Here is a 24,700-nt window from a genome sequence, read left to right as displayed (position 1 = left end):
GGAGGACATTATGTTAAGTGAAATAAACTAGGCATAGAAGGATGAATACTACATGGGCTCACTTACATGTGGAATATAAAGATTCAAATTCACAAGACAAGTAGGTATAATGATGGTTGCCAGGGGATGGGGATGGGTAGGAAAGGGGGGAAACGGGAAGATGTTACTCAAAAGGTACAAAGTTTTAATTAGATGGGATGAATAAATCCTGGAGATCTACTCTACAGCATGGTGACTATAGCTAATAATAATGTATTGTATAGTTGAAAATTGCTAAAAGAGTAGTTCTTAAATGTACTCAGCACACACAAAAATATTCTGAGTGAGGTGACAGATAAGTTAATTACCTCGATTGTGGTAATCAATTTATAATGTATACATATATTATTGTATACATTGTATACAATGTATACAACATCACATTGTATACAATAAATATATACAATTTTTGTTTGTCAATTATACCTTAAAGCTGGAAAGAGAGTAAAAATAATAAAAATTGTCACTCACCACTCAACATGCAAACACTAAGCTCCATGAGAAAAGGAGTCCTAATCGTCTTTTTTCCTACCTAGCCAGTGCCTGCCATAATGCCTGATGCTGAGGAAGTCACCATTTTCTTTCGCCACTTTCTGTGGAAGCAAGGCCTGCTATTCATTCATCAAATCACATCAAGAACCTTGTAGAGGCTAGTTACCTTTAAGAAACACCAGGCTAGTGGTGGAGGCAGAAATATAAGAAGCTAATTATGATACTAGATGACAAATATTCATGGGAGAAAGGTGCTGAAAAATACTTAAAGAGGCAGAAATATGTGTAAGTTCTCAACCTAAGGAGGAGTGACTTTAACCTCGAGTGGTGGAATCAGTTGGTACTGACAGTGAAAGCTAGATGCCTACTTGGCTTCTATTGACGTTTTGTCAGCCTCCTCATCTGAGTTCTCTTCATAAATACTTCCTCCCATGTCATTCCTCCTCTCATACCCAGTGTCATCCCTTCTAACCACCCTGCATTCACCAGAGGAACTAGATTACCAAAACCAAGACACTAAGGAGAAATTTATTCATTAAAGAGATACTCTTAGAAGAAATAAAAATTAAGTCAATGGGAAGTGTCTTCAATATATATCCCATTGACTAGGGCAAAAGCAGAAAATGAGTAAAAGTGCATTCAAGGTCTAGGAAATGGTATATATGAAAGCATGGAAGTATAATTGTTCTTAAATCTGTAGTAGGTCATTTATGATGGGTGAAACAGAACACAAAAGGGAGTGTTAGAACACAAGGCTGGAAATACAAACATATGATAGAACAGGTGTTTGGGTTTCATTTGGTTGCCAGTGGGAACCGTTATAAAGCATAACTATGACAGTGCGGCAATCTGTGTTCTAAAAGAATGACTCTGGCAGTAGTGTGGAGGGTGGACTGGAAGGAGTATTTGCTGAAGGTAAGGAAAGAGTTCAGAAAGGTTTTGCAGGAATTCATGCAAAAAGTAATCCATTCCATATCCACTTGGTATATCCTGATATGTGGTAGGCGTTTAATAAATATTTTAACCAAATAAGTAAGCTAGAACATGAAGTTCCTCCACAACAAAGATCCATGCACTGCATTTATAGAATTTAAACAAACAACTTATAATCTTAAAAGGAGGAAAGTGTTATTCTTTTATATAAAGGTAGACAGAAACTGTGTTCTGTTTATTTTTCTTCTTTTATAAAACCTCAATGCAGAAAGAACATTCAATTATTGTCCACAAACCTGTTGCTTGTCTACTTTGGATTCCCTGACTAACATCTCACCTGGCATTTAGAATTGCCTATCATGTTCAGCATGCTGCCAAAATTTTTAGACAACCTTAAACTTCAAAGCTTCTGCTTATTTTCATGAGGTTTCAATAAATACATGTTTGCCAAATACCAGAAAATATCCTCATCTAGATACTGTTGTGCTGCATTCCTCTGCAAAACGGAAACGAGGGTATTAACTAAATTAAAATTGATTAAAATGCTGGGTATTATTACCAGGATATTATAAAGCAGATGGATGAGCATATGTGATTAATTTTAATTTTCTGAAGATAGTACCTAAATAAGATGCTTTAATGCTTTAAGCCAAAAGTTATTTTAAAATACCATTGAACATGTTTATGTGTTTTCCCTTAATATATAACACTTAATTCTACTCTGAATTTCCTATACTCTGCTGAGAAAGTTGATAAATTGTTGCAATATATATGTCATTAATGATTTAATCAAATAATCGTAGAATATCAGATTCAAATCCAACTACGTTTCCCATGTAGAAATCTCTCCTACCACCTCCCTGACAGGATCATCTGAACTCTGCTTAGAATAAAGAAATAAGAGATTCACTCTTTTGTGAGGTTGCTGGATGTTGAACACAGTGGTCTGCAGCACAGATCAGATGCCCATTCTTCTCGCTGCCCTGTGAGGCAACACAGGTCAGCCTGCTGCTTCTGTACCACAGCTCCTCAGATATTCAAAGAAAGGGGCTATGTTCTCCCTCAGTCTGGAAGCTGCTTAGGGGAGTATTTTATGGGAGTAAAGTCATTCCCAGAAGAATGAAAATGTGCCATCATGAAGAAGGAACAACTTTTTGTTCTCTTCCTGGATGTTGGGGTAAAGAGAGTTAAAGATACCCCAAAGCACAAAAGTCTACAATCCTGAGTGAGAAAAAAAGAATATACCATTATGATAGAGATAGGGGGTTGGAAGCAAGTTAGTATAATGGAACATTCTCTGTCTCAGAAGAAGGGAGAGAACATTCTATAAAACTCATTTTGCCCGTGACTCAACTGGCTGAGAAGCACTTTTGAAGTAGAAAACGGGAACTCACCAGGTTTCCAGTGCTCACTTGGTTGTGTTGTGCTGTGCCCAAAGTGTTGCTTCTTCTATGACCTGAATCAAGTGTTCTGCATTATTCCAATGTCAGACCTGCCAGAGGGCAAATTACCAAATCAACAGTCTCCTTGGATGATAAATCTCGAGCTCTTCAGCAGAACAGCAAAGTAAGCCTCCTGAGTTTGTGTTTCCATTTTAAAAATCAGTTAATAGACTTTTACTCAGGTTTTACATTTTCTAAATTCTAAAACATGCTTGATTTGCAATTTCTCAGACCTTTGAGAAACATGGTTTCCTGCCTAGAGAGTTTCACATATTACATTAATCAGCCTCCCTGGGTCAATATAATTAGGAAAATTAGTTGGTACATTTATTTCTTGGCCTCTTCCTCTAGAGTCGTTTTACTTTGAAGCTTATTGTGTTTGCTTCAGCATTAATATTTAAATAATAAATATGAAATTCCTAGGTGAATTCACTAAGACATGTCTACAAAGTATTTTTAAAAACCTATGATAAATGCAGTATACAGCACCATATGAGGAGAGAGGCATCTGGAGTCAGCAAGATTAGCTGAACCAGGCCCCGTCATCAATAGAGTGACAAACACACACAAAAGAAAAATGATTAAGCCATCTTAACACATCTAATAATGATCTTGCCAAATTTCTATTGTGCTAATAGTTAACAATAATGTACTGTACATTTAAAAATTTGTTAAGAGGGTAGATATCATGGTATGTATGTGTGTTTTTCTTTCCTTAAGTATAAGTCAAAAGTCCCATGCTGATTTTCAGGATCCCTTCTTAATATGTCTTATAGGGCTCTCCAATATTCTTGTGCCTCGCCTATCTCACCTATTGCCATTCCACATTGTACTATAGTCAAATTAACCTCTCTGGTTCTTCAAATGTTCCTTATTCTCACAGCCTGGCTCCACTTTAAGATACCGACTTTACTCACCCTCCTCACCGCACTCCTAAGCTCATTTGCTGTCTGTTACTCATCCTCCAGGTTTCAAGTTATATATCTTTTCTCCATGATGCTTCTCCTTGAATTCCTTTAAACCAGACTACCTATTGTTCCTGCTTTTTCTCTTATAACAATTCCAACATAATGGCAATAGCTCTGTACTACCATTGCTGCTTGACTTGTCTGCCTCCCACCCATCCTAGACTTGAAGTTAAGAATGTCTCTTTTCAGCCGGGTGCAGTGGCTCACGCATGTAATCCCAGGACTTTGGGAGGCTGAGGCAGGCGGATCACGAGGTCAGGAGATCAAGACCATCCTGGCTAACACGGTGAGGTTAACACATCCTGGCTAACAGGAGAACGGCCTGAATCCAGAAGGCGGAGCTTGCTGTGAGCCGAGATCGCACCACTGCACTCCAGCCTGGGGGACAGAACGAGACTCTGTCTCAAAAAAAAAAAGAATGTCTCTATTCATCTTTATACCCCAAGAATTTAGTCCAGCACCTGGCATAAAGTAGGGTTTCAATAAACATTTGTTTAATGAATGAATGAATTGATAGCAGAATGGCAATGAAAAAACACCTGTCTATGCTTTAGAAAACACAAATACTCTTCAATATTTTATTGAGTTTCAGGATAGCTCTCTGCCATGAGAAATCAAACTTTTTTCCTTACACAGGTATTAATTTATGTAGTGTCCTGTGCTGACATTTATTATTGAAATAGTTGAATCATGAAAAAAAAAAGCCATCTAATCACAATTTATAGAGAGGACCTATTAAATGCTTAAATCTGTGAATTAAAGAAGTTTTTCTGGCTCTAAGCCATTTAGAGTGCAGAACAGAAGTTGAATACTTGGAGCAATATTGCAATATCTTAAGGTTTACAAAACAGTGTAACAAGCTTAGTAGCAAAATATTAACTGTTTATCACAACGTCATTCTTCCCCAGTTCTAGCAACATATGTGTTTTCTGTTCCAATTATAAGTTTTCTTACCTTTTGAGATCCTCCTCCTTCCTCTACTTTCTTTGGTTTACCTCATTGCTTAAATAGGCAGAAGTCTAGTTTTTGGATGTTTTTTTTTCTGAAAAGTTGGTTTTATGACTCACATAGAATATCAAGGAAGTACATGACCAAGGTTCAAGTAATTTTATAGGACATCTGATACTATTCTAATTCAAGAATATGAGCCAAAACTTTGCATTCATCTATTTTCACACCCTATAAAGATACTACCTGAAACTGTGTAATTTACAAACAAAAAAGGTTTAACTGACTCACAGTTCCATATGGCTGGAGAGGCCTCAGGAAAGTTACAATCATGGTGAAGGTGAAAGGGAGTAAGGCACGTCTCACATGGTGGCAGAAGAGAGAGTGTGCAGGGGAAAATGCCACTTTTAAACCATCAGATCTCATGAGAACCCTCTCACTATCATGAGAACAGCATAGGGGAAACCACCTCCATGATCCAGTCACCCCCCAACAAGCCCCTCCTCTGACACATGGGGATTACAATTAGAGATGAGATTTGGGTGGAGTCACAGAGCCAAATCATATCAAACTTGAACTTTATTAATTATCAGAGTTGCAAGAGGAACTGGACAAGAGCTGTCCAATGAAAGATCTAAGGCATAATGCAGGAGAAGATGTTTTGTTAGTCCTAAATTACTTTGCAAATTTAAACATAATATATTCCTTAATTCTTAAAATATTCCCAAAGAGAATGATCTGTCCATGAATATCTCCCTATTATAGAAGAATGTGAGAATTTGAAATTGATTGAGTGAAGATAAGGATCAGTGAAGATAAGTAACAAATGGCAGTGTTAGGATGAAGGAAGGGGAAAGTATGTCAAGTAACCAAGAGATCAAGACGCTGTAAGGATTCTCTATGGGAATATTAAATTTCATTAAGGATTATGACAAACAAAATTGAAGAGAGTACCAATGAGCCTGGAAGTAATATCTTGATAGTGCAAGTCAGGTAGCCTAAGCTTCAGTGACATAGCTAGGAGGAGAAGTGGATGGCTTAGTTCTCAGGGAGAAGTAATGCCTTTAAATTTATTTGTATTTTATTATACCTAACAACTCATCTACATACATGTGAGAAATAATTCAGAGAAACACATCTATGAAGACAGTGTGTAGTCCATGTTTTGGGATTTATGCAATAATTTGGGGAGTCTATGCAATAACTAGTATGACGTATTTCCAAAAGGTAGAAAATAACTATACTGTATCAGCTCAGTTTGATATCCCAATTGAATTATGCATAGGAGATGACAGAAGGTGCCCCAAATTGTAGACCATTTGAGTTGATCTTTGAATAAGATTTAATTATATGTCTCTTCTTTCATAATTTTTAGGTATTCTTCTAAAATTTGAGTTTAAAAGATCTTCTTGTTTTTCATTTATTTAATGCTACTCTCTAGTTTTTCCTAAGTGGAATTATTTTCAAGATGTTCAGAATTTCATTTTTTTTAAATTTTGGTTCAATTGTCAGATGTTTCCATTCTGAAAATCACTCCATTTACCTGTACCTTTCTTCATTTAGGCCTTTCTATATGCCAGTCTTCTGATTATTTGCTTAGTTAACCTCTCCTCCTCCTCTTTCAAACCTCATCCCAAAATATGTCTTCCCTAACTTCGCAGTCTCCAACTAGGTCATCAGATTAAATGCACTTGCAGCATGTACCTTTCTTTCCAGCATTTGTCAGCACCAGAACTAAATGTTTAAGGGAGTAATTTGTTTGTTATGTTCTATATTGACTACCCTACCATCTTTCCAGGACCAAGCATAGTACTTTATATAGAGTAGGTGCTCAATGAACAATTACTGGATCAGTGAACAGATGCAAGAATGAATGAATAGCTTAACATAGGAAATACTATTTATCCATTAAGAATGATATCATTAAGTAAAAATAAAATTACAGAGCACCAATTTTCTTAATAAAAACAAAAATTAAATTCAAAATATCTATAAAATGTTAAAAATGATTATGACCAATAAAATTAAGACAATTCCAAATTTATAATTGTATAACTTTTTTAATACATTATTTTCAAGTTAAAATAAAATGACTTAATCTAAAAATATAAACTTTGATTTCTATTTTTAAAAGCCTTTTTCTTCATTTGATATCTATTATTTATTTGAATATTTGAAATGTTCTTTCTTTAAATCTGGCTTTAACTGCTACTATCATGTTATAGTGATATAAGGCTTTTCAGTTTCCAAAGTTTACTTATCTACCTTAGCTTATTTGACCTCCACAAAAACTATATGATATATGCAGGACAGGTCTTTTTCCCATTTTACAGATGAGTCTGTAAATACACCTTTATAGCAATGTTTACTAATGTCTTCCCTTTCTATTTCTATATTCCTCTAAGGTTTTTATTACTAAAGAGTACTTATTTATCATATCTATATCAATGAAGGCAAATGCTCATATTACTTCACCTACTCTTTAAGAAATGAGGTTGTCAGAAACGTAGGTCAAGATTTTATCCTATCCTCCTCTTTAAGCATCTTACAGGAACTATTCAGAGAGTTGAAATTCCCATAATTATTAAATTTTTCATTCATTCAATAAATGCTTACTGAGTACTTAAAATGTGTTAGGTACTGCAGTCATAATGATGAAACACTTACCCTGGCTTCATAGAATTTGCAGTTTAGAGTACGATAAACATATAAGGAAATAAATGATAACCAAATTTGAAGAAAACTAAAGTGGAAAAAACAGATTCAATGAAAGTGAATAATAATAAGGAGACTTTATTTAGATTGGGAGGCTGACTAAAGTCCTTTCTGAAGTATGAGTGAGAATTACCTAGGTGAAGAGTAAGGAGGGAGGGCATTTCAATCAGAGAGAACAGCATATACAAACACCCTGAGGCAAGAAAAAGCTTGGCCCATTTGAGGAACTGTAAGAAGGGGTTGCTGGAGCAGAGAGTAAGAGCAAGAGTGTCACAAGATGAAGCAGGGGAGAGAAAATAGAGCCTTCTCTTCCTGTTAGATGAGCTTTTGTTACTGCCTTAGTTTGTTTGTGCTACTATAACAGAATACCACAGACTGGGTAATTTATAAACAATAGAAAGGTATTTCTCACAGCTCTAGAGGCTAAGAAATACAAGATCAAGGCGTCGACAGGTCTGGTGTCTGGCGAGGGTTGCTTTGTGCTTCCAAGATGGTGCCTTGACTGCTACTTCCTCTGGAGAGGATGAAGGCTACGTCCTCACAAGGTAGAAGGAGCAGAAAGGCCAAAGAGGACAAATGCTGTCACCTCACATGGCAGAAGTGCAGAGGAGAATGAACCCACTCCCAGGTTCCTTTTCATAAGGGTCTCTAATTCCATGAGGGGTCTGCCCCCATGACTTAATCACCTTCTAAAGGCCCTACTTTTTAATACTATTACACGGGCAATTAGGGTTTAACATATAAACTTTGGGGGACATACTCAGACCTTAGCAGTTACATCCACAAGAATCAGCCTATGATGTCTCAGTCTTCACTATGATGCATTAGCCTTCATCATGAGCTCTTTCTGTCAATTTTCTGTAATAACTGTAAGAAATAAGTTAATTTCCTACATTTAAAAGGCAACTTCAAATTGTATACTATATTAATTCTGTGCACTGTATAGAAGAAAATATGGTTGTTAATATTGAGATGTAGGAGGGTACTTCTAAATTGACAAATTAAATTATTATTTATCTTAAATTTTTACAGTTTCCTAGAATCTTATCTATAATTCTACCTATAAAGTTGATAATAAGTGATTTCCTAATGAAGGAATCAGGTAACATGTTTACGACTAAATGATAGAAATTAATAATTGTCATAGAAATTCCATAGTTAAAGGATCCCATGGCAGATCTTTGGAATGTAAGAAATACTATCTGATTATTTCTTGTGAGTTTAAACATTTTTTATTGGACATCTCATCACATATCATCAATAAACCTTTGCTTGTTTATAACAGTGCAAAAGTGATTTGTGCTATAAGCACAAAATCATATGGCAAGCAGAATATATGGCACTTAAGAGAGTGTGGCTTATCAGGATGAATGAGCTAGAGAGAACAGTCATTTCTATACAACTGAATCCATATAGAAGATGAGAGTCCCGGGAGAGAATGCATCTAACCTAGGGGAGAAAGAACCTATTGCTTTCCCTTGCAAAATGAAGCCAGAAAAGAGAGAGGTACAAATACAATCACAGAAATAAGGTTATTGCCAGAGGCCTATGTGAAAGCTAAACTGAAAAGCAACAGACGTATCACAGAGAAAATGGTCAGCAGTGTTATACTCAATTCATGCATTTTTTTGTCCACATGTTAGTGGAGGAAAAAAAACTGAAAAATGCTTACTGAATTGAATTTAAAGATAATTTGGGGTGATCTTATAGGCATAACTTTATAATAAAAGAACTCAAAATTTAGACACACACATATTTGGATATTTATTTAACTGGACCAGTTACATAACTGACACATAGCAGTTCAACAGTTAACTGACTGTTACATAGCAGTTAACAGAATATTTACTTTTTCTGTAGACTGTAAAATGACTTTAGGATTCTGGATCCATCATCAATATGACATATTTAAAAAATTTCAGATTTCAAAAGCAACAACGTTAGGTTAAACAGGAGAATCTTGATGGCTCAAGCACCATAAGTCTTGCTTCAAGTATATTTGGTGTTGCTATTCATTATATTTGCAGTGTACAATTTTTCTTTTACAAGAAATGAGCACATTTCAAAGACCATTGTTGCATGTGAAGATTTATTCTCTAAGGACATAAAATTCATGCAATGTTCATAACACGCCTATTTGTTATTTGAGAATTAATTTTAGTTAAACTTTCTGAGTTTTGATAAGTCAATTTTGGTTACAATTTTGGAATGTTCTAATATTCTGTGATAAATGACCTCAACATAATTATTTTTAAGGAAGACTGTCTCCACAAATCTTACACAAATATCACATAGATCTTTTGGGTAAAGTTAGCTAAATTAATTCTACAATGCAATGACTGAAACTTAGATTTCCTTAATTATAAAATTAAAACGTATCTATTTATTTTAAAATTATTTCATACTAGACAATGCCCACATTATAAATAATTTTCTTAAAGAAATATGAGTGTAATTATGTGTACTTATATCAATATTCTGTATAATATCTATCTTATCTACTTTTGTTGATAATTTTTTTTTTTTTAGATGGAGTCTTGCTCTGTCGCCCAGGCTGGAGTGCAATGGCACAGTCTCAGTTCACTGCAACCTCTGCCTCCCGGGTTTAAGTGATTCTCCTGCCTCAGCCTCCCAAGTAGCTGGGACTACAGGCATGTACCACCACACCCGGCTATTTTTTTTTTTTTTGTATTTTTAGTAGAGATGGGGTTTCACCGTTTTAGCCAGGATGGTCTCGATCTCCTGACCTCATGATCCACCCGCCTCAGCCTCCCAAAGTGCTGGCATTACAGGTGTGAGCCACTGCACCCAGCCGATAATCCTTTTTAAGAAATCTTTCCAGCTGCTTCACATGCTTTCCCACTAAGACAATTAAGCTATTTATGAAGACAGTGAGTCCAAGGATGTATGCACAGGGCAGAGTCTTAGGGAAATCCCCAGAGCCAAGCATCTGTGTGGCACTGGCTCAACCTTCAGTGATGCCCTTGCACTCTAGGAAGAAAAGTTCACTTTGTTTTTTTAAAACATACTGGTCATTACCATTTCTGATTAGTGACAGCAGAAACTTATTTGCAAACATAAGAAACATAGGACTATGTATTAATAATTGTGAAATTTAAATAAGTTTATACTTATACTTCCTAATGCCCTACTTTTCTGTTCCTTAATTCAGAAAAGCCAAGTGCTCTTAGCAACTTTGCATGTAGTGTTCATGTCTGAAGTTACAAATTTTGATAGGATCTGTTTAACATCATTATGCCTTTTGAGATTGGTATTTTAATTAGTAAGCTATTTTTTTCCATGAATCCTAGTGAGATAGCCATGCAGACAAACCTTAGATCATTAGCCTCGCACACTCAGTTGATTAGAGAACACAGCTCTAATGTGAATAAGGTCTTTAAATTTCCCAGATGCCAGTTATCTCTGTTCTAAAGGCACAGCCTATACTAAAATAATAGCAAGTGTTCTCATTATGTGTACTTTTCGCTTTAAGGTAAACCCGTTGATAAAATGAGGATAAGAGAGCTCAAGCCTATCAGCATGTATTAAAAGGCAACTCAGCTCAAACATTCTTCCAACAATGGATGAGAATATTATCTTCACATAGATAAAAACGAGCCATCATTGGTGTCAGCCTCTTACAATTAGATCCATTAATTATCACCTGCTTCTGCTGGAACAGTTATATATCTATAAAATTATATTTGTGGGAGGCCAGGCACTGTGGCTCACACCTGTAATCCCAGCAATTTGGGAGGCTGAGGTGGGTGGATCATTTGAGGTCATGTGTTCAAAACCAGCCTGGCCAATATGGTTAAACCCCATCTCTACTAAAAGTATAAAAAATTAGCTGGGCATGGTGGCACGTGCCTGTACTCCCAGCTAGTCAAGAGGAGAATTGTTTGAACCCAGGAGGCAGAGGTTGCAGTGAGCCAAGATCACGCCACTGCACTCCAGCCTGAGTGACAGAGAGAGACTCCACCTCAAAAAAAAAAATTATCTTTGTGGGGAAGAGGGGTAGAAAAATGAGAAAGACACTGTATTAGGGAAAAGGACATGGTAAGGTTAGAATAGGATGAAACTTAAAAATCTTGTCTTCTCATTATACATAAGACTGCGGACTGGAAAAATGAGCTGAATGACTTATCCACTATCATTAGGATTACAGGATATATACATACATATATACACTTGGTTTCATATATATATGTTTCATATATGTTTCATATATATGTTTCATATATATAGTTTCATGTATATATGTTTCATATATATATATGTTTCATATATATATATATATATATATATATATATATATATGAAACCAAGTGTCTCTAATAGTTAATTTTGAGTGTCATCTAGGTTAGGCATGGTACCCAGATTACGTTGCCAAACATTATTTTGTATGTTTTTGTGAGGACATTTTGGATGAGACTGACATTTAAACTGGTGGACTCTGAGTAAAGCAGATTACTCTATGTAATGTGGGTGGGTTTCATTCAATCAATTGAATGTCCAGATTAAAAAAAAAAAAGAACTGTCCTACCCTCAACAAGAGTGGATGCTGCAGCAGAGTCCCTTTGGATTTGAATTGCAATATCATCTTTTCTTGAATCTCCCGCCTGACAGCCTTCAGACTGCCTCCCCATCTTGAAGAATTTGGACTTGCTGGTTTCCATAATTATGTGAGACAATTCCTTAAAATAAATCTATCTATATCTTCATCTATATCTATATCTATATCTATATATCTATATCCGTATCTATCTAGCTAGCTAGCTAGCTACCTACCTACCTATCTACACATTCTATTGTTTCTGTTTCTCTGAAGACCTTTGACAGTGTCATAAATTACATGTACTTACAAATGAAAAGAATGGGCAAAACATCAAATGTCTGCCTTTAAAAGTTTTTTTGTTCTTTGTAATGAATTAATTGTATTTATATCCTGATGTAGTCTCCTTCTGAATAGATAGTTGCATATGGATATAGAGAGATTTATTTCAATATTTTGGATTTCAAAAACCACAATAATATGCATTATACAAAGGATGAAATTTCCCATTACACCACTCTCCTGAGTTACGAACTAACTTGTTTTTCTTCTCTTACTGTGAAGTATTCAACTTGACATTCCAAAAACAGACTGCATAATTGTAAAGCCATTAATTTTCTAAGAACACACAAAAATATTGTCTTTTTATTACAATGAACAAGAGTCAGTGTCTTTAGCCTATATTGAGTGCTCAAATCACATAGATATATATGGTTATTCATCCCTCCTGCCTGTTCCTATTCTTAGTCAACTGCTCTTCCTTTGAAGCATATCTCAATCTTCACCTTGACCATGCCATTTTCCTATTGACTATAGTTCATGTTGGGATATCTCTTCAAAATCCTTTTTACATTAGTACTTTATTTCCCATTGCTTTCTAACTTTCTGAGCCACCCAATATAGTATTTAACCTTATAGGTTTTACTCTTTAAGATAAAGAGAGGTAGAAAACCTTAGAACATTGTATTAGTCCATTTTCACTCTGCCGATAAAGACATACCCGAGACTGGGCAATTTACAAAAGAAAGAGGTTCATTAGACTTACGATTCCACATGGCTGGGGAGGCCTCACAATCATGGTGGAAGGTGAAAGGCATGTCTCACATGATGGAAGACAAGAGAAGAGAGATGTACAGGGAAACTCTCCTTTTTTTAAAACCATCAGATCTCGTGAGACTTATTGACTATCATGAGAACAGTAGGGGAAAGACCTGCCCCCATGATTCAACTACCTCCCACTGGGTTCCTCCCATAACACGTGGGAATTCAAAATGAGATTTGGGTGGGGACACAGCCAACCCATATCAAGCATGTGCCTGAGTGACTTTGTCCTCCAGGAATTAACTGTACTATGAGTGGTCATTGTAGGACTCTGAGGACAGCAGAAACATGATTACAGAAACAACAAATCTGGGCTCTTTTCCTAAAGAACGTAATTGTATGCAAGACACAAGAAATCCAAAGATTTATGGGGGTAGTGGCATGTCCCTTATTCCAGCACCTGAAAGCACCATGTCTTAGAATGTGACGATAATCAGGGTTGAAATACTCCACACGGGCTTTCCCCTAAGCAATGTCTTAAATCTTGTACACAGAGGGAGGGATAAGAAAGCTGTAACATTAAAGGGCCTTGCCTTTTGAAGCAAGGAAATCTCAGGGAGCTGGGAAGAGATATCACTATCAAAATTTGTATGACTGTTTGAAGTCAGTTTTCCAAAGGAGAGTAAAAACAGAATACTTTTAAGGGGCTCATTAAGTCCTTGGAAGAGCAGACTGGCAGGGCAATATTTTTCAAGGCCGGGCAATTTTCAGTGCAGTGCAGATAGGAGCTCCAGTGGTCTCTTGAGGGTCCAGCAGAAAGCTAACGGGCAACCAACAAGGAACAGGATGTGAGTGGTGGAGTGGGAGGACATAGGGTGGAGGTGGGAAGGAGGCAATAGCAAGATCTCCCACTAGGGGCAACACTGAGCCACATATATTAAAGTAACTGTTGTATGAAGAATCAGTAGTGGCCAGTAGAATGCACTAGTATGGTGAATGATGGATTGTAAGGATCCAAATTGGGGAAAATATGATGTAAATTCAGACAAAAGTAGGAGAGAGAGAATGTTGATAAAATTTATAGGCTGGTCCCAAGCAACATGCAAAGAGCTCTTGGAGAGGTGAGGCAGCCCAAGGATTCCTGTGCAATAGATTTCACCCCAGTCCCCAGGCTTTTCTGTTCTTAAAAAGACTCCTTCTCTGGAAAGGCAAAAATATTTTAAGGCCTAACACTACCTTCCAGCTCTGCGATTCCAGATGTTTCAGGAAAAGTATTAGAAGAAAAGCATCAAACCCTTAATTAATCCAGTACTTTCTTTTCTTTTAGGAAAATGCAGCTCTTTTTATTTGCTGCTCTCTGTTTCTCCTTGAGAAAATGAGGCATGATTACTGAAGTGCTTCTGAAAGAATTCCATTGTCTTGCATTTAGAAATCCTGCGTGTGGAATTCAGTAAGGGTTATGCAAGAGAGAACTCAGTTTTCAAAGTGTGCCTTGTTTGCATGACATTCATGTAGATCACTTAGTATCAGTTATCCTATTACCCACAGCTGCTCACTTCACATTATCTCATTGCCATGTCAACATCCAATTCACAGCAACCTGCTTTCTGGTCTCGTTCTTTTTAGGATAATTTGTTCTGAAGTGATAAGTAAGTACCCCTGACAATGGTTCCGGCTCTTCATCAGTGTGTGGTTGTGGGACTCAATATTATGGCAGGAATAGAGTCAGTGCACACACCTCAAAGAGGGAAATGTGATTACCTTTAACATAAGACATTAAGCTTTGCTTAATGGCATCATCACATCTCCCATCAACTTCCTGTTTCTCCTTCGAATTTATGAAATATTCCATAGAACTTAGATATGTGAAGTGTAGAATATTTTAAAGACAAATAGTCATTAAGTTTCTGGACAGAAAAAAAGTCTAAAAATACAAAAAGTCTGAAAAGTTTTTAAACACAAAAATCACCTGAATCAGTATAACTGGTAAAACATTTCTCATGTTTAAGAGCTTAAATAATATTGATTATAAATGTATAGATTTTTTATATTTGTGAAATGGTGACTTCCATCTTGTTCATACTCCTTTGTGCTATCTTTCACTATGATGAAGCCAGCTGCTATTCTCTGAGCTGCCTCATGGAAGGGCCCAACTGGCAAGCAACTGAGACAAGCAATCGTCAGAGAAGAATGGATGTACCCCATCCAAAGTCCTGCAATGAACTTGAATGATCCTGCAATCTCAGAATTGAAAGAATCCTATCAAAAACAAAGAACTTATGAGCACATACTGTACAGTAGAACTTGAGATGACTGCAGCTCTTGTCTGCACCTTGAAGATTTGCAAGAGTCCCTGAACTGGAAGACCGCACTAAGCTATGCTCAGTTTCCTAACCCACTGTAACTGTAAGATAATAAATGTTATTCTTTTAAGCTTCTAAGTTTTAGGGCATTTATTACACAGCAATAGATAAATTATACACAGGCCATAAAATGTCCCTTGTGGATATTAATATCTTCCATCTCTGAATGATACCACTCGTTTTGTAAGTTAATCATTAATTGTCTTGCATTGTTTACTTAGTGTTAATTGGTCATGTTCAAATGATGTTCTACAGGGCCCTAAGGAATATATGTGTATGAATATGTTTGCTTTTTGTATGCAGTGTGAGTGTGTGATTGGGGTGAAAGTTTAAATAAAGAAGTTAGGTAGACAGGGCTCTGAGTGCATTTTTTCTACCTTAGCAAGAACAGTTTCTCTTTTATCTGCTAAATGTATTAGGTTGGTGCAACAGTAATTGTGATTTTTGCATTGTTGAAATTTGCAGATTGATATTGGAATATGTTCTTAAATAAATGTGGTTATGCTATACATCATTTTAATGTGCAGTTCTCGCTTTATGTTTTTTGGCTAATGACCTGTTACTTGCTGTTTATTTTACATTTATTTTAGACTATGGAAATGATGATAGACAAAAAGCAAAATCAAGTGATTTTCTTATTCAAGTTCAAAATGGATCATAAAGCAACAGAGACAACTCACATCAATAATGCATTTGGCCCAGGGACTGTAATGGGCATACAATGCAGTGGTAGTTCAGTAAGTTTTGCAAAGGAGTCGAGAGCTTTGAAGATAAGAAGCGTAGTAGCCGGACATCAGAAGTTGACAATGGTCAGTTGAGAGCAATCATTGAAGCTGATCCTCTTACAACTACACAAAAAGTTGCCAAAGAATTCAACGTCGACCATTCTATGGTTGTTTGGCATTTGAAGCAAATTGGAAAGGTGAAAAAGCTCAATAAGTGGGTGCCAATGAGCTGACCAAAAATTTTTTAAAAATTGTCATTTTAAGTGTTGTCTTCTCTTATTCTGTGCAACAACAACAAACCATTTCTCAATCAGATTGTGACATGCAACAAAAAATAGATTCTATACGACAACTGGTGATGACCAGCACAGTGGTTGGACCAAGAAGCTCCAAAGCACTTTCCAAAGCCAAATTTGCACCAAAATAAAGCCATGGTCACTGTTTGGTGGTTGGATGCCAGTCTGATCCACTACAGCTTTCTGAATCCCAGCAAAACCATTACATCTGAGAAGTATGCTCAGCAAATTGATGAGATGTGCTGAACACTGCAATGTCTGCACCCGGCACTGATCAACAGAAAGAGCTCAGTTCTTCTCCATGGCAACACCCAACTGCACATCGCACAAGCAATGCCTCAAAATTTGAATGAATTGGGCTGTGAAGTTTTGCCTCATCTGCTATATTCACCTGACCTTTCACCAACCAACTACCACTTCTTCAAGCATCTCAACAACTTTTTGCAGGGAAAATGCTTCCACAACCAGCAGGATGCAGAAAGTGCTCTCCAAGAGTTTGTTGAATCCCAAAGCGTGGATTTTTACACTACAGGGATAAACAAATTCATTTCTCATTGGCAAAAATGCATTGATTGTAATGGCTCCTATTTTAATTAATAAAGATGTGTTTGAGCCCAGATATAATGATTTAAAATTCACAGTCCAAAATCGCAATTACTTCTGCACCACTAGAATATGGCATAGTGCTTCACTGAGGAGAAAAGGTGCTATTGTAAAAACATTTTTAAATTACTGACTTAAATGTTTTGGGGCTTTATGTCTTATCCACCATTAAACTTAAGCATTTTAAGGACAAGGAGCTACTAAATACTTGTGGACAGTCTGAATTTCTGCTTCAGGTATCAAAATCTAGAACTCTTAAATCTCACTTTATAAAATATGCTCAGCCAAGTAAAATAAAACCAAATAGTCTGTAAATCACACAATAGTATTATCACTTTATAACTTGAGAACGTGATTAGAATGACCATAAATTTAGGGAACAAAATTGGTTCTATGCCTGAATGACTGCTTAAGCCATAAAATAATAGAATCTCAGAATTGAAAGAGATCATAGAGTTTATCACTACTAAATATACACACCAGATAATTTAACCTCCTTATAAGCCCTTTATCAGGTTGCTAGTCTATTCTTGAATAATTCCTGTGATACTAAACTGGAGGCTTAAAGAGAAAGTTTACAACTTAGGCTTCCACTGGAAATCTGTAATTTTGGCACCTACAACCTCAATAAAAACTCAGTAAGTATAATGTAACTGGTAAAGCTGCTGCCTCTGGAGGTAAAAGACTTTATAACTGTAATAGAGTGCAACATAGTATATTCGCTCATTCATTTATACTTTTATTTATTCTTCATTGCTCAAACAAATTTTCACAAATGTTGAATTTACCTATTCTCCACTTCCTTACCCTTTCCTGCATTGCTTTACGCTCTTCACTATGTCTTCCACTTACACCACTCCACTGAAACTCTCCTTGCTAAGGTCAACCATGGTTTTATACTATAATACTTATTCCTGAAACTATCATATGTTACAACATATGTTAAATCATATGTTAAAACAAATGTTTAGCATTTAGAAGGCCACATTTTCAAGATGCTATACTTTATTAGATACTGAAAGTAAGAGGAAATAAAGGCCAAAGATAATTCCCAAAAGTGTAACATTAATAACCTGATTACTATCTCTTATCCCTTTTTCCCAAGGACATTTCTAGAACATTTAGATTTTCACCTCTCCTTGCTATCTCTTATATTTTGTTGTGGTAATTGAAATACTTTGTAGGCAGAGAACAGAAAAAGAGAGAATGTTGTTAAGCAGAGAGGAAAACTAGCTGAAGCATAAGGAAAGAGTGAGAGAGGAAGGAAAAGGGGGAAGTTTTACTTGAAAGTTAAAAACAAAGAGTGACAAGAGAAAGATCTGAGCATAGTTATGGTATTTGAAAGACTTGACTAAGAGTTGGAACAATGGAAGTGATACTAAGTGTTGTGTGTTATCAATTAGATCTTCTTCAATGTTCTAAAATCACCAAAGAAACTTGAAAGATGAGAATACACATTGCTTCACCAGGTGTATTATATAGTTGACCCTTGAACAACAGGAGTTTGAACTGCATGGATCCACTAATACACAATTTTTTTCAGTAAATATATTGCAAATTTTGTTGGAGATATGAGACAATCTGAGAAAACTTTCTGATAAATCTTGTAGCCTAGAAATATTAGAAAACTTAAGAAAAAGTTGGGTGTGACTTGAATGGATAAATGTATGTAAAGACTAGTCTATTTTATCATTGACTAATATAAGATCTACAAAAATCTGTCATAAAAACTTACAATTTATCAGCACTGTGAACACAAACACTTGTAGTCCAAACAATGCACCATTTGCAGCTGAGAGAAATGTAAGCAAACATAAAGATACAGTATTAAATCATAACTGCATAAAATTAACTATAGTACATATTATACTACTGTAATAATTTTATAGCCACTCCCTGTTGCTATTTCCCTGAGCTCCAGCGTTACAAGTATCCACTCAAAACACCATGCAATGCTAGTCATCTCCTAGCCAGCAGTTTGTCTCTCTAGTAAATTGTCTCTTGCAGTAAAAAGTGATCTCTCATGGTTTTTGTGCATTTTACATCATGTTTAGTGCAATATCATAAACCTTAAGTAAAACCATGGGACCCATAGAAAGTGCCACTAGTGTTGCCAAAAGTGCTCCCAAAAAAGCAGAGAAAACTCATGACATTAAAATAAAAAGTTGAATTGCTTGATACGTACTTTAGATTGAGGACTGTAGCTGCAGTTGCCTTCCATTTCAAGATAAATGAATCCATTTAAAGAACCATTGTAAAAAAAATTATGAAATCATCACTGCAACTATGCTAACAGGGGCAATGTATTTCTATAAAGTTACACCTAGTGTCTGCCTCTCCTGCCTCCCCTTCAACCTCCACTTCTTTCATTTCTGCCATACCTGAGACAGTAAGACCAACCCCTCCTCTTCTTCCTCCTCCTCAGCCTACTCAACAAGAGTTGATTTTTAAAAGGTGAGTGCCAAGTTTCTACTTCATAAAATATTCATAATTCACTAAAAATGAAATGGATAAATTTGCTTATTGTTAATTTGTGAGGAAAATAATTCTACCTTTGGAAAAAATTAAAAGGCAATATACCTTTGGAACTGCCTAAGAGAAAGGCAAAGAATAAACCTGTTCAGGACATTTATTTGAAATTCTCCAGTAATGTTAAATTTTCAGTGTTTGTTGATTAATTTAATTTTCAGATATGGGCCAAAATTATTCAGTAACTGAAAAGTGAGGTGAGCATTTAAGCAGAATCATTTCATGTAAAAAAGGCAATGTGACTATTAAGCAATTAGTTAGATTTTATACGGCACAAAAGCCAATCCTGAGCTTGTTTCCAAAAGAGAAATTTTTAAAGCCTTTGCAAAATATCATTTTCATTAGTGTCAGCATATTCTTTCTTCAGATTGTGAGACTGACCACTCTCTACTGCACTGAGGAGGCAGGTAACATAAAGCAACTATTTTGAAGGGCTACATGTACATTTTGCTCATTTCAAAATTACTCCAGATGATTCCTGAATCAAAGTGTGCAAATATAGACAAACTCTACTCTTTTTAAAATTAAAAAAGACAATGAATTTTTACAAAATAAGAGCCCCTAGCTACCCACTGAGAGAATGCTAAGATGCAGGGTCATGAACTGCCATGAGTGTGGCAGGAAATGTCACTGAAGATTCCAGTGTGATAGCACAGAGCAGCAGGGAAGCTGAGAAAGAAGCAAAACCCACAACCACATGTCATTCCTCTTGTATATAACCCAGTCTCTTGATGAGGGGAGACTTCTGAATAAAAAGCTCAGAGAAGAAAAGGTGAAGGGACATTTTGTGACTTAAAGAACTTTGGATGAGATACAACAACTTATGAATGCCAAAAACTGAAGAAATAGATATATAACAAACAAATAAAATGACAAGAGTTCACATGTGTATGTTCTGATAAAACGCTGTGTAATGACCCAAATTACCCTTCTCTCTCCCACCCCAAATCCAGGCACTTCAGCAGCCAGCAGGCACTACAATGACAAAAATTTTATTATGATAAAAATAAGTCTACCTCTTCTTCAAAGCTGCTATCATGTTAAATGATCAAACACTTGAAACATACCTATTAAAAACAGAAAAAAGAACCCATAGCCATTATCTCCACTCTTGTTTAACATTTTTTTTTGGAAATAATAGCACAATTAGAAAAGATAAAGTATTAAGAGATATAGAAATTGAAAAAACTACAAATTATATATCTGGAAACCTTAAAAGAATAAGCTGAAACAATTAGAAATGGTAAGAAAATTCAATGGGGTGGATAGGTTAAAAATTAACATGCAGAAAACAATATTTGTCAGATGTGCAAACAAGAAATTTTAAAAATATATTGGAAAAAGATGCCATTACAATACCATCAAGAAAAGATAAATGTAGGAATAAACATAACAGTAAGTATAAGATCAATATGAATAAAATTTTAAAATGCTACACAAGAATATGAACAGAAGACTTGAACAAATGAGAAACATATCATGATATTGAAAAAGAACACTCAAGATCACAAAGATACCAGTTTCCCCAAAGTAAATTGAAAGTGTAATTTAGTCCCACTAAAAATGTAAGTAAGAATTTTGAATTATATGAGTTCATTCTAATATTAACATAAATAGAAACATAAAGACTACCCAGAAAACTCAAACTACATAGTAAGATGGAGGGGACTAGCCTTACCAGATATTAAAACATGGTAAAGCTAATCAAAACAGTGTGGTATTGGCACATAAATAGACAGACAGAAGAATGAAGCAGAAAGGATAGTGATGAGAATGAACAGGGGATCTACAGACCAGGAGAAAGTATTTGCAAAGCACTTATCAGACAAAAGACTTGTATACAGTATATATAAGGAAATCTCAAAACTCAACAAGAACAAACAACCAAATTTCAAAATGGGCAAAAGATTTGTACAGACCTACAACTAAAAAAATAAATGGATGGCAAATAAGCACATTAAAAAATGCACATTATTATTAGTCCTTAAGGAAACGCAAATTAATATGACAAGGAAATACCGCTGCATCCATACAGGAATGGCCCTAATTAAAGCCTGATACCAACTGTTAGCAACGATGTAAAAAAAACGAGAGGTTCATACACTGCTGGTAGAAATGTTAAATGATATAGCCACTTTCAAAAACAATTTAGCAATTTTTTAAAAGTTAAATGCATACCTCATATATGATTTATCCATTCAACTCCTAGGTTTTTATCCAAGAGAAATGAAAGCATATGTCCATACAAGAACTTGTGTATGACTGCTCATCACAGCTTTATTTGTAATAGCCCAAAACTGGAAACAGCACAAAATTCCATTAACAGGTGAACAGATAGGCAAAGTGTAATGTGTCCCTATACTGGAACATAAGTCAGAAATAAAAAGAAATTAACTTTCTACAAAGAACCTGACCCATGTTCTTCAAAACTGTAAAGGTAAAAAAAAAAAAATCAAGAAAAAACTAAGAATTGTCAGAGATGAGAAACAGCTAACAAAACATGAAGACTACATGAAGGTTCTTACCTAGTTTACTGGGTCTTACAAGCTCCAATTAAATTCCAATATTTATTTATTGGCAAAGCTTACCCTAAGAGATTAACATGAGATATACAAACCATTTTGAAGACCTTTAACACAAGATATTTTTCCCAACTAAGAAAAGAAAACAAACAAAGAAAAACATGGACAAGAATATTTGTGAAAGAATGCTCATCAGAAGAATAAGTTCAGGGATAATTTAAGATGACCATAACCAAGCATTTTATAGGAGATGCGGAATACTTTATTGAATATCTAATACCAAGGTGTGCTTTTTGACCGTTGTGGATTTAGAAAACTAATTGCGATTATACCAACTTGTTTTATTACCACATTATTTTGAAACTGTTTTTCAAGATTCTAACTCAGTCTTCAAATCTTAGTAGTTCACGATATTCCAGGAAACAGTTGCATGGAACATCAAAAGCCCGTGGTTTAGCCTATGGTCCCAATCTTTCTAAGATGACCCTCTCTGACAAGAGAAAATATACTGAAGAGTTGACAATGCAATAAACACTAACATACTCCAGGAAAGTTAAAAAAAAAAAAAAGCGGTCAGTAGAACCTCAATCAGAGAAATGGTAAAATACTTTCAAAGAAGTCACACTGTTTCAGCCATCTTGCTGAGGTGACATGTACTCTCCATCTAAAATTTGTTTTGAGTGTCAAGACTGATGATACCACATGTGCACCATGAGGGTGTGAATAAGGATTCCTTTAGTCAGGAGAGCAGATCAAAATCCCAAACAGGTTCCAAAATGTCTTGAGAGACAGCAGGGATAGGAAACTATCTAGCTTGGGTTTTTGTCGTAGTTGGAAGGGTGACTGGGATGATGGTTCCCTTGAATGAGCTAGGGTGTTCAGAGATTTGAATTTCCTGCCAGTGACAAAGGAAGGAACACTGGGCTTTCTTATCAGCTTTCCTAGATATAGAGGAAGAGAGAGAGTAGGGATATTGGGTCTTGTAAGCAGTGAGCAGTCACACGTCAAAAATAGAGTCAGATTCTTTCTTAGACATACAAACAAAGGAGGCAAAAACAGCAGCATGATAACGATTTTTAGAAAGATAATACAGAAGATGAAAAATGTGTGCATACATTAAGCAAAATTTGAATGTGAACATTGAAATAATTTGTAGCTTATATCCAGGAAAGGTAATAGAGCTCAACCCATGCCTAGTTATATTCTGATAATGTTGCTGCATTTCAAGGATAAGGAAAGAAGCACCCAGGAAGAAAAAGCATAGTACATTCAATAGGGGGAAAAATGAAGTTGACCTCATACTTCTCTGTAACAAATATAATGCCAGAAGATAGGGAGCAACATCCAGTGAGTTATAAGACAAAATAGTATGCCAAAGGAATTTATGTCCAGCCAAGTTGCCTTTCATATATAAAGGCAAAAGTGAATTTTTTCAAGCATAACAAAATTAGGAACTATACATGCTTGAGTATTTCTTTAAAAGACTACTGAACTATAAAATTTAGCCAATGGAGTGAAAAAATAAGGAATTTAAGGATGAAGAAACTGCAGAACAAGGTGAGGAGAACTGACACAGTTTAAGCATAGAATAAAATTTTCAGATTTTTATTCTATAGTTATGGAAGATAATATATACATTACAAACCTTGAGAAGATAAAAGTTATAATTAAAGGACCAAGAGGAGAGAGGGAAATGGGAATATAAGGGTGCCACTTTTATTACCTTTCATAGTAAATAATCAATATATACAGTATAAAGTTACAACCCATAGTTAATTAATGTAGGCTCTTTCTCAAAATCATTTTTTCTGGCTTTAGAAGTCTCTTTTAGGAACTAATAGGTTTGATGGTAAAATATCTTTATTTGAAATTCACCTTTTACTTCAAGTTTCACTTTGTTGTTTTCCTTTTTGGTTAAATTCAGGTAAAAATTAATATTAGAGTTTTAATTTTAAAAGGGTATATCAAGTATAATAATTTTCTAAAATCCTTATTCTATAGCTATTTATCCACTTGGTTTTATAACTAAGCATTTACAGAGATATCCATAAAAATGTCCACCAAATATTTAATGAAAACTATCCCTGAGTAGCAAGATTAGTGATATTTTAAATAACTGTTTTATTTTAGAATAGCTTTACATCCACAGAGAAATTGTGAAGATATTACAGAGTTCTAACACACCTCACAACCAATTCCCCCACTATGAACATCTTACATTAGTAGAGGAAATATATATTAGTATAATGTGATTATAATAATTTGTCACAAATAATGAGTCAATATCAGTACACTATTATTAACTAAAATCATGTTCTATTCATATTTTCTTAGTATTGATATAATATCACTTTTTCAAAGATCTCGTTTGGGATGCTATGTTACATTTAGTCATTATGTCTCTGGGCTCCTCTTGTCTATGACAGCGTGCACATCCTATTTTGTAGAAAGATCTTCAGTTAAGATTTGTATGGTGTTTTTCTAACGATTAAACTGGGACTATCAGTTTTTGGAAGGCAAGAGTGGTAA

At 35.4% G+C, this 24,700-nt stretch overlaps 2 long non-coding RNA genes across 3 annotated transcripts in view; one reads left to right on the top strand and one right to left on the bottom strand.

The window, feature by feature from the left end:
* Window positions 1-2,956, bottom strand: part of LOC107986841 (uncharacterized) — a 66,127-nt gene extending 63,171 nt beyond the window's left edge. Inside the window, exon 1 of the long non-coding RNA XR_002956584.2 lies at window positions 2,859-2,956. This is a non-coding gene — a long non-coding RNA (uncharacterized LOC107986841). The remainder of the gene's footprint in view (window positions 1-2,858) is intronic.
* On the top strand, window positions 1,391-15,574 carry LOC105375484 (uncharacterized). Of its 2 annotated transcripts, NR_187948.1 has the most exons (3): window positions 1,391-1,446; window positions 2,332-3,030; window positions 15,247-15,574. It is a non-coding gene; the product is annotated as an uncharacterized LOC105375484 (long non-coding RNA). The 2 variants fall into 2 exon arrangements; NR_187949.1 differs by lacking the exon at window positions 2,332-3,030.
* The last annotated feature ends 9,126 nt before the right edge of the window (window positions 15,575-24,700 follow it).

The sequence above is a fragment of the Homo sapiens genome, chromosome 7, assembly GCF_000001405.40.
Source record: "Homo sapiens chromosome 7, GRCh38.p14 Primary Assembly".
Lineage (NCBI taxonomy): Eukaryota > Metazoa > Chordata > Mammalia > Primates > Hominidae > Homo > Homo sapiens.
This window is presented reverse-complemented; position numbering and strand designations above follow the sequence as displayed.